The sequence below is a fragment of the Homo sapiens genome, chromosome 1, assembly GCF_000001405.40.
Source record: "Homo sapiens chromosome 1, GRCh38.p14 Primary Assembly".
In the NCBI taxonomy this organism is placed as follows: Eukaryota; Metazoa; Chordata; class Mammalia; order Primates; family Hominidae; genus Homo; species Homo sapiens.
In genome coordinates, this window is record NC_000001.11 from 48,890,376 (window position 1) to 48,906,114 (window position 15,739).

A 15,739-nucleotide genomic window follows, 5' to 3' on the forward strand; every position below is an offset into this window, starting at 1 on the left:
TTGTGGTGAGGATTAAATATTATATTACTTTAAAGGGTACTAGTACAGTCAGATAATTTATTGGAGTAAGAATCTATGTATATATTCTTGCATTTTTCCTTTCTCTCTTGCTCCAAGCAATAGCTAGGCTACTAGTCTTTGTTTCCCCTAGGGGTTTCTGAAGGAGAGGCAGTCAGAAGCTCCTTGGAGTCAGTGATATTCTTGTGTTTTTGTGATGTCCAATGTCCACTGAAGAGACTGTGGATTGTGGATGTCCTTGAGGGGAAAAGAAGGAGCCAGGAAGAATGGATTTTGGGTGAAGATGCTGGGGGTTATTTCCCAAATAGAGAAGGGAATGAAGGTTGGTAAGTCTGTTACCCGTACTCTATTCTGTGGCAGCATCCCAGGGTGAGCTCAGGTTGGTATTTCATGGATACTTGCAGTCTGGCAGATTCATCAAAGATCGTTATGCCCATAGTAATGAATGAACGCAGAAGTGCAGGAACATGAGGGTGAAGGAAATGGTCGTGTTGGTGAGAACTGATCGGAACCAATAATCAATAATCAGAGAGACAGAGATACTACCCCAAATGCTTCTGATACTTTGATGCTGCATAAGATCCTGGGATCGTGGCGAAGTGTAGTGTTGGGGAGCCACAGAAATGGCAGAGACTCAATTTACTGATCAGTCCAGTAGGATGTGGGCTACAAATTTAATTTAAATGCTTTTAACTAAAAAGAAATACATTTCTTACATTACTGAGTTTGTAGAACAAGATTCATACCCATTACAGTAGCCTGCCATGAAGAAATGCTCCCTAACAGGCAGATATCATTATTATTAATTAAGTCACTAAATGTTTTTGAGTAAATAAAAATCATAGTGTGGATCAGGTCACAGGAGTCAGTAAAGGTCTAGGAATCAGGTCAAGACTTTTTAGCTTGTGCTAAAAAGCACAAGCAAAGAATCAGAAAAAAGCTGAACTCAAGGAACAGAAACAACAGAGTCAAAAATGACAAGAACCCAGTCCCAAATACCCTCTTCCAAAAACTTTCACTAAGCACGTATTTTGGACCAGGCACTAGATGCTGGAGTCATAATGATAAATCAAACCTGGTCCCTGGCATCAAGAAGCCCCCAGTCTGATGGAGGGCACATAAAGAGACCACTTCAGTTTAAAACGCTTGTTGCTATCTTAGGAACCTCTTACCAAAGGCCGGCTTCCTGTTTCAGCTCTACTGCCTTTTGTCTTCTGCCCAGAGATTTGCTTTCAAATAAGATAAGAGTTCAGGCACATAGGCATGGCTAATTAAGACAACTCACTGGTCAGGCAGAAAATTTGGTGGCTGGAAGAAAGCATTTCCTAGTACAGGCACTACATGGGAACTTCACTCTACTCCCAGCTGAGTATGAGGATTTCCCTGCCCATGGAGCTCATACAACCATTAAATGGCAGAACTAGGCCTTTAGCTAGGATGGTCAGACACCCAACCCTGAACTTTTTTCATTAAACCATGCTGTCTCCAGAAATGACCCTAGGAATTAATAGCTTATGTTCTAATAAAGGGAAGAGCAGAAATAAAAATGAGAATACACATTGTATTTATTTCCTAGGGCTGCCATAACAAATTACTACAAACTAGGTGACTTAAAACAATAGAAATTTATTTTATTACAGCTCTAGAGTCTAGAAGTCTAAAATTAAAGTGCAGAGAGTGCAGAGGCATGCTCTCTCCAAAAGTTCTAAGGAGTAATCTCAGAGGCAATAATTTTGCCTCTTCCAGCTTCTGGTGGTTGCTGGCAGTCTTTGGAGCTCCTTGGTTTGTGGCAGCATTATTCCCATCTCTGCTTCTGTTGTCACATGGCATTCTCTCTGACTGTCTGTGTCCTTGTGTCTTCACATTGCCTTCTTTTAAAGACACAAGTCACTGAATTTAGGGCCAACCCGAATCCAGTGTAATCACATCTTCACTTGATTGCATCTGCAAAGACCTTTTCTCTTTTTTCTTTTTTTTAATTTAGAAAGTTTATTTTGCCAAGGTTGAGGACACATGCCTAGGACACATGCCTGTAACACAGCCACAGGGGGTCCTGATGACATGTGCCCAAGGTGGTCAGAGCACAGCTTGGTTTTATACATTTTAGGGAGATGATAAACATCAATCAACATATGTAAAATGAACATTGGTTCCGTCTGAAAAGGCAGGACAACTCGAAGTAAAAGCGGGGCAACACTTGAAGCGGGGAGGGGGCTTCAGGGCACAGGTAGGTGAGAGACAAACAGTTGCATTCTTTTGAGTTTCTGATTAGCCTTTCCAAAGCAGGCAATTAGATACACATTTATCTCAGTGAGCAGAGGGATGACTTTGAATAGAATGGGAGGCAGGTTTGCCCTAAGCAGTTCCCAGCTTGAATTTTCCCTTTTGCTTAGTGATTTGGGGGCCCAGGATATTTTCCTCTAACCATTCCCCCCCTTTTCTTTTTTAAAATCTTTTGGAGAAAGCATTTTAAAAGAAAATGAGTTTCTGGTTAGACCATCTTTCTAAATAAGGTCGCATACACAGGTACCAGGGGTTCAGACTTTAATATATCTTTTAGGGGAATACAGTTAGACTCAGAATACACCCCTTCAAAATACACACACCTGCATATACACAGACAGAAAGGAGAAACCTTCTGGAGTGCACTTATCTACTGTACACTGCTGAATATCCATGAGAACACCCCTACAAAAATCGAAGTATACACTAAATAAACACATACTTGCCTGACAGCTGGGGCTGCTCAGCTGACTTTAGACCTGCCTGTACCAATGGGTGGTTTGGACCATGACAGAGGAGCTGGAGGTAGAGGAGAGAATCTACCAACCTAAAATGTACCCAGTCCCTGTTATGGACTGAATGTTTGTGTTCCCCCTCAATTTATGTGTTGAACTCCTACCCTGCAATGTGACGGTCTTAGGAAGTGGGGCTTTGGGGAAGTAATGAGGTCATGAGGGTGGAGCCCTTATGAATGAGATTAGTGCCCTTATAAAAAAGACTCCAGGCCGGGCGTGGTGGCTCATGCCTGTAATCCCAGCACTTTGGGAGGCTGAGATGGGCAGATCACGAGGTCAGGAGATTGAGACCATCATGGCTAACACAGTGAAACCCCGTCTCTACTAAAAATACAAAAAAAAAATTAGCTGGGCATGGTGGTGGGCTCCTGTAGTCCCAGCTACTCGGGAGGCTGAGGCAGGAGAATGGTGTGGACCTGAGAGGCGGAGCTTGCAGTGAGCCGAGATGGCGCCACTGCACTCCAGCCTGGGCAACAGAGTGAGACTCTGTCTCAAAAAATAAATAAATAAATAAAAAGATAAAAAAGACTCCAGAGAGCTGGGTAGCTCTCTTTCTACCATTTCTACCATGCGAGGCTACAAGAAGCCAGTAGTCTGCAACCTGAGAGAGGGCCCTCAGCAGAACCCAACCATGCTAACACTACGATCTCAGTCTTTCAGCCTCTAGTACTATAAGAAAAAAGTTCCATTGTCTACAAGCCACCCAGTTTATGGTACTTTGTTATGGCAGCCTGGACTGACTAAGAAAATCATCTAATTGTATAATGAGGAAACCAAGGAGCAAGAGGAGAAGGAACCTGCTTAAGCTTTCATCATGTACTGGCCACCAGAGTCGCAAATGTTGGCCAACATCAGGAGGCTGGTTTGAGGAAAAAATACTTCCGTAGCTTTTGAAAGTATTAGTCGACTTCAAAATGTGCAAACCCTTTGACCCAGTAATTCTACTGTTAGGAAATTAGCTTAATGGTTAATTAGCTGAAATGATGAAGATTTAGCTATAAGGAAGTTTATCAAAGCACATTAAGAAAGACAATAGTTACATAAACTGAAATTTACTTTATGTCAGACATTGTCCTAGGTGCTTTGCATACATTCTCATTTAATCCTCAAAACAACCTTTCATCTAAGATGAAAAAACTGATACTCAGGTTAATTAATTTTCTCAAGTACACACAGTTAATAATGTTAAGAACTTGGGTTGGAATCCACATCTATTTGATTCTAAAACATCTCTTATACCATACCTTCTGTATAAAGTCAGAAAGTCATCTTCAGGGGCCCCAAATGGAAATGCTAATGATTGGGAATTGGTTAAATACATTATGTGCATTAATACAATAAAATACAATAAGCCATTATATAAGCACTCTCCTCCAGGGTCACTTGTCACATGTCATGTTGTAGGTTAATATCTGATGATGTAGTATATAGTAAAAAAAAAAGGTTGATTATACATGTAACTTAGTGTGTGACATGTAGATACATTTACTGGTTAGAGTGGGTAGATAAATAAATATGAAAACATGAATCTCCATTATTTCTGGATAGGATTACAGGCAAATTTTAAGTTTGATTTTTAATATTTATAATTTGCTACAATGAACAAAGGATGAATTTAATGAGAAGAAAAAAAGAATTTATATTTCAAAACAAAGAGGTTTCCAGTACGTAGGGAGACAGGATTTCCTAAAAAGATATTTCTAAGACAGCATCTTTAGTTTGAATTTATGCTTCATCATATTAGCCTTTACCTCTCTAGACAAAGTTCATCCACCTATTTGGTAAGTCAAATTGGCAGTGTTTCACTAGTTAAAAGGGTTAATTTCCTTGGACTTAGCAGACGTACCTGGGCAGTTAACGCTGCTAAGGCACCTGAGTATCAGAGGGATTTTAGGGCATGTTCCCTCTGTTCTGTGGTTAGAGGAATCTAATAATATCCCACCATTTCTTTTTCTTCTTCCTTCTCCTGAAAATGCAGCAGGTAAAGTTCCTGATTGAATTCCATCTTGATTTCATTAAATATTCATAAAGGCCAATTAGAAGAGGAGAGAAAGAGCCCCCTTCTATCATCCTGTCAGAGGTCGGCTTGTTGACCGTCAGGCATGGGCCAGCCAGTGGTCAACATGGCCATGATCTTCCTGCACTTTCCTCTGGGGTCACTTCTCACCATCCCAGCAAGGGACCCAGGACTGGCAGGAAATGAGAGGCAGAGGCCTGGCAAGGAGAGACAGCTTATAATTCTGACAGCAAGGTGCTTAGCATGTAGAATGCAAAATGCAAATGCTGGGAAACATCCTCAATCATTTCTGGAATGGAAATCTTTCCCTAATGAGCGATGACGATGGCAGAGAGCTGATTGCACTGAAGAAAAACTGCTTAAAATTCATAATCAATCAAGCGAGTTGATTTTAGTCTTTTGTAACCAAGCTATCCCATTCTAGCTTCCTTTATTGGCCAACTGGAGCTTATCACTCCCTACCTTGTTCCCTTCATCTAGCTCAGATGGTAGGTCCCACTGGAGACCCTGAAAGAGACTCGAGCATATCAGGAAGGTAGACTGGTAGGACTCAGAAGAGCTCATCCATTCTGATCATTTAATTTTACAGTTGGGGTGTGGAGGATAAGAGAAGGCAAAGGACTTGACAATGTTACATGGGCAGTGGCAGTGCAACTAGCTTTCTGTCTGCAAGCCATTGAAGAATGCTATGAAAGAAAATGTACCAAAAGTCTAGAGTTCTACATTTGGGACCGGTTTTACTATGTGATATTGGAACAAAGCTGTGTAGTATTGGAACTAAGTGTTTATGCTATTTGCAGGTTGCCATTCAAAAATGGCGATGGCAATAATAATGCCTTTCTCCCTACTTCACAGGGTTCTTGTGACACTCACATAATAAAAAAGGATATAAAAGTGCTTTGAAAATGGCAAAGCACCCTGCTATTATTAAACATCTCCTTTCATTTTCCAGGCCCCTAGGTACTCCCCCTCTAAATCATATTCCACACAGGTATCTGCAAGTTCTTTTTAAAACTCAGATCTCACCTTGCCATTTCCCTGTTTAACTCCTCTCACATTGTCCTTTGGACAAAGTCTAAGCTCTAAGTCTGGCATTGAGGAACCTTCACAATTTTGGGAATTTGTCTTCTCTTCTCGAGCTTCAGTTTCCTGTTCATAAAACAAGAAAACTAATACCTACCTGAGAAGGCTGCTGTGATTAGAATTCACATCTACAAAGTGATCAGAATGGCTTCTGGCACATCATAGCTGGCCTATGTAGCTTAATTATAATCTTATTAAGTTTCACAACAATTCTGGAAGATGGCTACAGAAGAAGCAACTTCCACTCTGATTTTACAAGACACGAGAAGCCCAGAGAGGTGAAGACATTTAATAATGGCTGCACAGCCAGAACTCAGACCTGAGATTTCACTCTTGGGCTTTTGGCTCATGGAGGCAGGGGATGCAATGGGGAGTAGGTAGGAGAAGCAGGTGTGGTGCTACCTCAGGCTGCCAGCATGAAATGATTCTTTTCTGAGATACCTCTGCCTAGTCCAAAAGGTAGAGAATATAATTTTCCTTTCTTTCTTTTTTTTTACTAGTACAAATAAAAAGATTTATTTTGAAGCAAACTAATACTTGAAAAAAAGCAGCTTTAATTAGACAATGATACAAAAGTACGTATTCTTTTTGGGACTAGTTCTGAATGAGACTTTTGGGGTCTTCAAGGGTTTCACAGGCTAAGTGCACTTGTTATTTCAGATTTCTAATTTGCCTTTTAAATGGCAGATTTATCCCTAGTACAACTTTTACACTTATTAACATTGATGCCATTTGTTTTTTCTTTTGCAGACTGAGGTAATGTATAACATATCATCTTTACCATTTTAAGTGTTCAGTTCAGTGGTAATAAATACACTTATATCCTTTTTCCCCCTTCATCCCCTACTCCATCCCCTCCTTTCTGGCCTCTGGTAACCACCAATGTACTCTGTGTCATCATGAAATCCACATTTTTAGCTCCCATGTATGACCGACAACATGCAATATTTGTCTTTATGTACTTGGCTTATTTAACATAGTGGTCTCCAGTATCATCCATGTTGCTGCAAATGAGAGGGTTTCATTATTTTTTATGGCCGATTAATATTTCATTGTGCATATGTACCACACTTTATCCATTCATCCATTGATGGGCACTTAGGTTGATTCCGTATCTTGGCTATTGTGAACAATGCTGCAATAAACATGGGAGTACAGATATCTTTTTGATATACAGATTTCCTTTCTTTTGGATACGTATTCAGTAGTGGAATTGCTAGATCATATGTTAATTCTATTTTTAGTTTTTTGAAGAACCTCCATACTGTTCTTCATAGTGGTTGTACTAGTTTACATTTCTACCAACAGTGTATGAGGGTTCTCTTTTCTCCACATCCTCACTTGCATCTGTTATTATCTGTTTTTTTAATACAAGCCATTTTAACTGGGGTGAAATAACATGTTGTTTTAATTTGCATTTCTCTAATGATTAGTAATGTTGAGCATTTTTTCATATACCTGTTGGCCATTTTTATGTCTTCCTTTAAGAAATGTCTGTTCGGATCTTTTGCCCACTTTTTTTTTTTTTTTTTTTTTTAAGACGGAGTCTCGCTCTGTCACCAGGCCGGAGTGCAGTGGCACGATCTCGGTTCACTGCAACCTCTGCCTCCTGGGTTCAAGCGATTCTCCTGCCTCAGCCTCCCGACTAGCTGGGACTACAGGCACATGCCACCATACCCGGCTAATTTTTTTTGTATTTTTAGTAGAGATGGGGTTTCACCATGTTGGCCAGGATGGTCTCGATCTCTTGACCTCATGATCTGCCTGCCTTGGCCTCCCAAAGTGCTGGGATTATAGGTGTGAGCCACCCCACCCAGACTGCCCACTTTTTTGATTATTTGGCTTTTGTTTTTTTGTTTGTTTGTTTTGTTTTTGGCTTAAATTGTTTAGTCTCTTTGTTCTGGTCATTAATCCCTTGTCGGATGGATAGTTTAAAAATGTTTTCTCCCATTCTGTGGGTTGTCTCTCCCACTATGTTGAGTGTTTCCTTTGCTGTGCAGAAACTTTTTAGCTTAATGTAATCTCATTTGTCTGTTTTTGCTTTGTTGTCTGTGCTTTTGAGGTCTTATACAAAGAAAATCTTTTGCCCAGACCAAGGTCCTGGAGCACTTCCCCAGTGTGTTCTTCTAGTTTCATAGTTTCAGGTCTTAGATTTAAGCCTTTAATCCATTTTGATTTGATTTTTGTGTATGGTGAGAGAGAGGAATCTTGTTTCATTCTTCTGCATATAGTTATCTAGCTTTCCCCACACCATTTATTGAAAAGACCATCCTTTCCTCATTGTATGTTCTTGGCACCTTTGTTAAAGATGAGTTGGTATATCCGGATTCTCTATTCTGTTTCATTGGTCTATGTGCTTATTTTTTTTTTATGCCAGTACCATGTTGTTTTAGGTATTAGAGCTTTGTAGTAAATTTTGAAGTCTGGTAGTGTGATGCTTCCAGCCTTGTTCTTTTTGCTCAGGGTTGCTTTGGCTATTTGGGGCTTTTACGGTTCCATATATATTTTAGAATGATGCCCTTTGTGTTTGATCCACAAAAAGGGAGAGACATCCAGAGCTGAAGAGTTTTCCCTGAGAATTTTGTCAAGAGCGTCGCTCTCCAGGTACACGCCCCCCGTCAAAGGCGGCTCTAAGGTCCTCTCACGAGGGAGCGCCCATGGTACCTCCTTACTCTCAGCTATCTGTCTCTCCCCGACCCCAGAGTGATTGCGCTGCTTCCTCCAGAGGGCGGGAACCTTGGACGTGGCGGGGCTGGGTCAGCCACGTCGCTGGGCCTGAGGCGCTCGGCTCAGCCTCCCTGCAGGCTGGCCTTCCGCACCGTCGTGAAGCCCCCGACAGGCCCCACACCTGCCCAGGTAGAACGGCGCCAGCCCGAGTGACGCCTGGCGTGTAGCCGTGGGCAGGCGGCTCAGTGCCGCGGGGCGGGCGGGCGCCACACCTGTGCGGGCGAGGGCCTATAATTTTATTTTCTAACATGATCACAAGGCCATAGGTTCTAGGCCTGTCCAACTTCTCTTGCCTCATTTCAAACTAGTGGAAAATGAAATGAAGCAAAGGATGGTTATCTTATGCTAAACAGTTGCTTGAATAAAAAAGGAAAAATGAAATTCTCAAACAATAAGTTAATAGTTTTTTTTTTTTTCTCAGCTTCTCCTCTAAGCCGCATTTCCAGGCAGCAAAGAGAAATTGAGTGGAAATGCATAAATTGTTGCAAACAAATGTCTCATTCAAGAGAGATTTTCTCAAGATACCAGGCTCCATATGAGGTAGCTGGGTGAGTCTTTGGATGGGAGTAGAGAAACCTGGATCTGGCCTCACTTGGCTTAATCTTTTCTTTCCTGTTCTTCTTATGCATCAACTCAGGCCTGCTACAAGTCCTAGATCCACACTGATATGAAACAAAATGACGAGCATTCCAAAAATTCAACTTTATTCTTTCATTCATTTAACAAATATTTATTGAGCATCTACTATGTCCCAAGCTCTTTGCTAGGTGGAATACAAAGTTAAGAAAACAGACACAGATTCTGCCTTCATCTAGCATTTACAGTTTATTACGGGAAGAAAGACTTTTTAAAATAATCAAATATTCATGTATATGATTTCACCCTTTAATAAGTATCATGAAGAAATAAATATTGGGAGCTAGGAAATATTTAACAGGAATATCTGATATAATTAGGGGCTGGGGTGGGGTCAGAAAAGATTTCCATGAGGAGGAAACATTTGAGCTGAGGGGCATTTGGAGTTATGAAGGCAAAGGGATGTGAGTGGGGTGGGGTTGGAGTGCTCCAGTCAGAGAGGACAGCTTGTATTAAGGCTCTGAGGTAAAAGGGAGCAATGGCATATTCAAGGAATTGAGAGACCAGAGTGTCTGGAGTATAGAGATGGGGACCAAGAAAGATGAGGCTAGAGAGGAGAGAAGGGTGCAGACCCCACACAGCCTTCTAGGCCAGGGAATATAAGCTGGGAAACAAATTATTCTAAGCATGAGAGAAGCCATTAAAGAATTTTTAAAAGAGGATGGGCATGATCAGATTTGTATTGCAAAAAATCCACTAAATCCTAGCAGGCTTTGTTATAAAAATGTCATACTAATTCTGAAATTCATATGAAAATGCAAAGGACCTAGAATACCCAAAATAACTTTGAGAAAGAACAAAGTTGATGTACTGACACTACCTGATTTAAAGACTTATTATAAACCTACAGTAATCAAGACAGTGTGGTTTGGTTTTAGCATAATTAGATCCATAAAACAGAACAGAGTCCAGAAATAGACCCACACATATATAGACAACCAGTTTTCAACAAAGATTTGAAAGCAATTCAGTGGAGAAAAAAACAGTTTTTTCAACAAATGGAACTGAAACAATTGGTTATCCATATGGGGGAAAATAAGAATTTTGATCCATACCTCACACCACATATGTAAATTCATTCAAAATGGCACATAGTCCTAAATGTAAAACCTGAAACTCTAAAATTCTGGAAGAAAACATAGGAGAAGACCTTCATAACCTTAGATTAGGGAAAGATTTCTTAGAGACAACACCAAAAGCATGATCCATAAAAGAGCAAATTGATCAAAATTTCAAAACTTCTAATTGAAAGAACTGTTAAGAGAATTAAAAGACAAACCATAGATTAGGAGAAAATATTTGCAAATAATATATCTGATAAAGGGCTTGAATCTAGAATATGTATATAAAAACTCTAAAATGAAATAATAAAAAAAGCAACCTAATTTTAGTAAAAGCGGGCAAAAGATCTGAACAGATGCTTTACTGAAGGAGATGTATAGATGGTAAATAAGCACATAAGAAAGGCTCAATATCATTAGTCATTAGGAAAATGCAAATTAAAACCACAATGAGATATCACTAGACAACTATTAGAATGGATAAAATTAAGACTGCCCATACCAAGTGTTGGTAAGGAATGAAGGAACTGGAATTGTCATACACTACTGTTGGGAATATAAAATAGCACAGCCACCTTGGAATGAAGTTTGGCAATATCTTAAAATATTATATGTAAACTATCATATGATCCAGACATTCCACTCCTGGGTATTTTTCCAAGAGAAATTAAAGTATATGTCCTTGCAAAAAGTTGTATATGGGTGTTAAAAGTAGCTTTATTCATAATAGTCAAAACCTGGAGAAAATTCAAATGTGCACCAATTCGAACCTGGAAATAAGCAAATTGTGGTATATCTATACAATAAAATACTACTCGACAATAAAAACGAATGACCCACTGATGCACACAACATGGATGAATCTCAGAATGATTATTCTGAGTAAAAGAAGCCTGACAAAAAGCATACATATTGTATAATTCCATTTTTATAAAATTTTAGAAAATGCTGTATAATTCTGTTTATGTAAAATCTAGAAAATGCAAACTATAGTGACAGAAAGAAGAGCTTGTGGTTATGTGGGGATGAGTGGGAATAGGGGAGGGAGTGAGAAGAAGAGATTACATAGGGGCACAAGGAAAAGTTTGAGGGTGGTATATTGTTTATAATTTGATTGTGGTAATAGTGTATTGATCCATTTTTATGCTGCTGATAAAGACACACCTGAGACTGGGCAATTTACAAAAGAAAGAAGTTTGTTGGGCTTACAGTTCCACATGGCTGGGGAGGCCTCACAATCATGGCGGAAGGTGAAGGGCACGTCTTACATGGCAGCAGACAAGAGACGAGAGCCTGTGCAGGGAAACTCCCCATTATATAATCATCAGATCTCATGAGACTTGTTCACTATCATGAGAACAGCACAGGAAAGACCTGCCCCCATAATTCAATTACCTCCCACCAGGTCCCTCCCACAACACTTGGAAATTCAAGCTGAGATTTGGGTGGGGACACAGCCAAACCATATCAGATAGTTTCTTCAGTGTATACATATGCCAAAATGTATCAAATTGTACAGTTTAAATATGTGCATTTTATTGTATATTAATTATATCTCAATTAATTTTTTTAAAATAAAAAACCATAAACTAGATGTTATGAGGAAAATGAATAGGGACTATATGGTGGTAGTGGGAGGGAAGGCACAAGTGAGTTTACAATGAACAGTTAGAAGACTATAATAAAAGTCCAGGAGTCTGATGTTGATAATCTAGAAGAGAAGAAAAGCAGTGGAGATGCTGAGAAGTAGAAGGATCCAAAGTATTTAGTGGTTAAGAAGGAAAGAACTGGTGGTGGATTGGAAAGAGAGGAGTGCAGTGGTGACGAGTGAGGGCTAAAGGATGAAATCTAGATTTTTGGACTGCCTACTCTGTGCCATAGTGAAATTTATTCAGTATTCAAGGAATACAGAAGGAAGCCCTCATCTCCTTTTTCACATTCATCCCCTCCATATCCCCATTATCACATCCCTGGTTTAGATGGTATCATCTTTTGCTTGCATTGGTACAAAGCTTCTTCCCTAATCTTCTCATATCTAGATTTGCCTTTGGCAATTGAACCTTACACTAGAGACTGCAGTAAACTTCCTAAATGCCCTGTCTGGCCATTTCACTCTCATTCTAAATTCCTTCCCATAACTCCCCATTGCCCTCAGGATGATGTTCAAGATCCTTAGCCTGGCACTTGTGAGGCCTTCTAAGACTTGGCCCCTCTCATCTTCTGCAGTCCTCTGGCTCTGCCTGCCAACACCTGGACTTAGCTCCAGATATAATGAATTGCTTGTAGCTTCTTGGATCTTCTCACCTCCTTGCCTGTGCATAAATTGATTTCATTTGCCCCAAACTTGCTTCTTATAATGTCATCCGGTGCTCAAGGCTTAGTTTGTGCTCTTTCAGCATTTTGTGGATCCTTTTATCAGAGCAAATATTTCTCTAATTGGAATTTGTCTGCAACTCTGATTTGGTCTCTGTTCTTGGACCTTTTTCTCTTTCATCTCTATACAGATCTCCTTTAATCTCGCCTCCAAGTCTGGTAATCTGTTTGTTTCTCCTGGAACCCTCCCAGAATCTGAGTCCTATCCAGATTAAGTGAGGTTCAAGTGCAGAGTCGGTGCCTGAGGGATATCTGTGGAAGGCATGACAGCCTCAGCTTTGAGCCTCAGGCTTTGCTTCCTATGTGTAATGTTGACAGTTCTAATCAGCTATTTGCTTGTAGACTTGGCCTGACTCCCCAGTCCCTGGGATCTGCCTATCCACTGAGAGCTCCCTACTTTATCTTGTAGATTACTGGCTCAGCTCAATGGGAGACTCTTAACAGGATTTGGACACCAGGTGATGGCTTCAGTGATGTTGTCAGGGTTTGGTCTCTTGTTCAGCACTTCTCCTACCACTAGAGGCATGCACTGGACACTCCTTGTCTTTCATGCCTCACCTAGTGCCAGAGTTCCTTCCTTCCTCACACATTGTTTGACTCTATGGAGTCAAACCTGTGCTAGGCATTGGGGAGATAAAGACAGGTGAGATATAGTCACTGGCCTCAGGTAGCTCCAAATGTGTCACCAAACAAGTTGTTCCCACCTCCTTGCCTGTGTGTAAATTCTCATTCCCTGATTCTTGGTTTCCCCATCTGTAAAATAATGTTTAAGGTGCTTTTTCCTTTAATAACCTCATGCTTCTGAGATTAGGATGGAGCAAGTGACAGGAAGGTGAAGAAGAGTAAACTGTAGATGAAGAAAAGCTAAACACCTGAAAGAAAACCTGCAGCATTAATAAAATGATCTCGGCCAGGCATGGTGGCTCACAGCTGCAATCCCAGCACTTTGGGAGGCTAACGTGGGTGGATCACCTGAGGTTAGGAGTTCGAGACCAGCCTGACCAACATGGTGGAATCCCATCTCTAATAAATATACAAAAATTAACTGGGTGTAGTGGTGGGCGCCTGTAATCCCAGCTACTCGGGAGGTTGAGGCAGGAGAATCATTTGAACCTGGGAGGCAGAGGTTGCAGTGAGCCAAGATCACGCCATTGCACTCCAGCCTGGGTGAGAGAGACTCCATCTCAAGGAAAATAATAATACAATAAAATGATCTCAATTACTGCTTGGCTAATTAGTTAACTTATCTATGAAAGAAACAACTATGGTTGTGCTGAAACATGCATGGCCATGGGTTGCTGTCATTGCTCAAAGTCTAGTGTTTGTATTTAAAGCATGGACTATAAAGCGAGTAGCATGTCAAATGTTTATTTGACAGTTTAAGACAAGTTTCTGAGATGCATGGCCTGTGTCTTCAGAAGGCAGTTTAGAGTAAAGGTTAAGAATAAAGTTTCAGAGCTGTCTGTCTCTATTCAAATACGAGCTCAACAAATTCTTGGTTGTGTAAACTTGAGCTAATAACCATGCCTTTCTGTGCCTCTGTTTCCTCATATGTAAAATGGGGATATAATAAAAACCTACCTCTGGAGTGATTGTGAGGATTAAATAAGTTAATAAACATTAGCATGAGGTCAGTGCTCAATAATTATTGAACAATATTAGCAATAATTATTTTTATCTAAAAAGATCTAAGACCAATTTTGATTTCCCAAAGAAGAAACATGTAATTACCAACATAGAAAAACTTCAATGCAAGAATTATGAACAAACCTAACATTCATGTGTTGCTGCTTCCATTGGCTCATGCTTCTTCCCAGTGTCATAAGGCGAGACGCTGTACAGTCTGCAGTTGCAAGGCTCATGACACTCTCCAATAATAAATGTGATCATGTTCCCTGGAGGATTTTCTGTTTCAAAATTATAATTACAATCCAATGGCTTAATTTAATTAGATCCTTCAATCTACCTAAAAAGCTGGTGCAGAATAGAATAGGAAATTATGAGCCTGGGTAACTAACGAGGAATCTTTAGGAGGTGGAATCATAAATTGTGGGTTACTCATTGGATGCAAAGCCCTGTCCTTTTCAAGGGCCCTCAACCTTCAGAATCTTTCAGTCCTACCAGCCCCTCTATGAAAGACACTTACAACAAGAGGGAAGCAAAAAGCACAGTTTCCAAGAAGTTTATTTGTATGCTTGCAGGCCTTCTAATTTTACATTTACCACTTATGGTAAAAATTTAGGGACATAAATATTGCAACAATGTTTGGTAACAAATGTACTGCAATGTCTTCAAAACATAGTCAAAAAAGTAATGTAGAAATCATTGAGAATAAATACTAATTTGAATGCAACCCAAAACACAGTTATAATAAACAATGGAAGAATTAAAAAGATAATCCATGTTTCTCATATAGAAGGTTTCTGAAATTAAGAGAAGTTTAACAGCTCTCATTTATTTGAGAACTTCCTGTTCTTAGCACTTCATAGAAATTTTATTCTCTCAATAACCCTTTGAAGTAAGTGTTAGTGTTATCTCCTTTTTACAGATGGGAAAACTAAGGCATAGAATGATTAGGTAATTTGCCTACACTGACTCTAGTGACTGTGTGTAAAGTTCAGGCCCACCTAGACTTGCTATGTCACATAGGTGATGAATGTACCTTTGGTTGAGATCCACCATTCTAAGTATTATCCCCAAATCAGACATGGCAATACTACCACAGCAACAATTACCCAGGCCCTCTAGCTTTCACTGACTGACAATGCCTAGTAGTATTCATCCATTTATTTGAAAAATACTGATTGACCACTTCCAATGTGCCAGACTCTTACAGGAACTAGGAATATAATGATGAATAAAAGTGACAAAAATTCCTTCCCCCCATGGAGCTTACTTTTAAATGAAGGAAACAGACAATAACTAAAATGAGTAAAATTTATAGGATTTTAAGGTAGTGCTAAGTGTCACGAAGCAAATCAAAAAGGGAAGAAAGATATAATGGGTGTTCAGGTATTAACTTAAAA

At 39.9% G+C, this 15,739-nt stretch overlaps 1 protein-coding gene across 10 annotated transcripts in view, besides 1 other annotated feature; it reads right to left on the reverse strand.

Annotated features, from left to right (window-relative positions):
- The window catches only part of AGBL4 (AGBL carboxypeptidase 4), a 1,501,444-nt gene that overhangs the window by 367,865 nt on the left and 1,117,840 nt on the right, over window positions 1-15,739 (reverse strand). The gene's annotated exons all lie outside the window — the stretch shown is intronic.
- Window positions 1,878-2,570: an enhancer, noted in NCBI's record as "OCT4-NANOG hESC enhancer chr1:49357925-49358617 (GRCh37/hg19 assembly coordinates)". NCBI's record gives its function as "activates a minimal SCP1, AML or CMV promoter by ChIP-STARR-seq in naive H9 embryonic stem cells {active_cell/tissue: H9 hESC(naive)}" and the evidence as "EXISTENCE:reporter gene assay evidence [ECO:0000049][PMID:30033119]".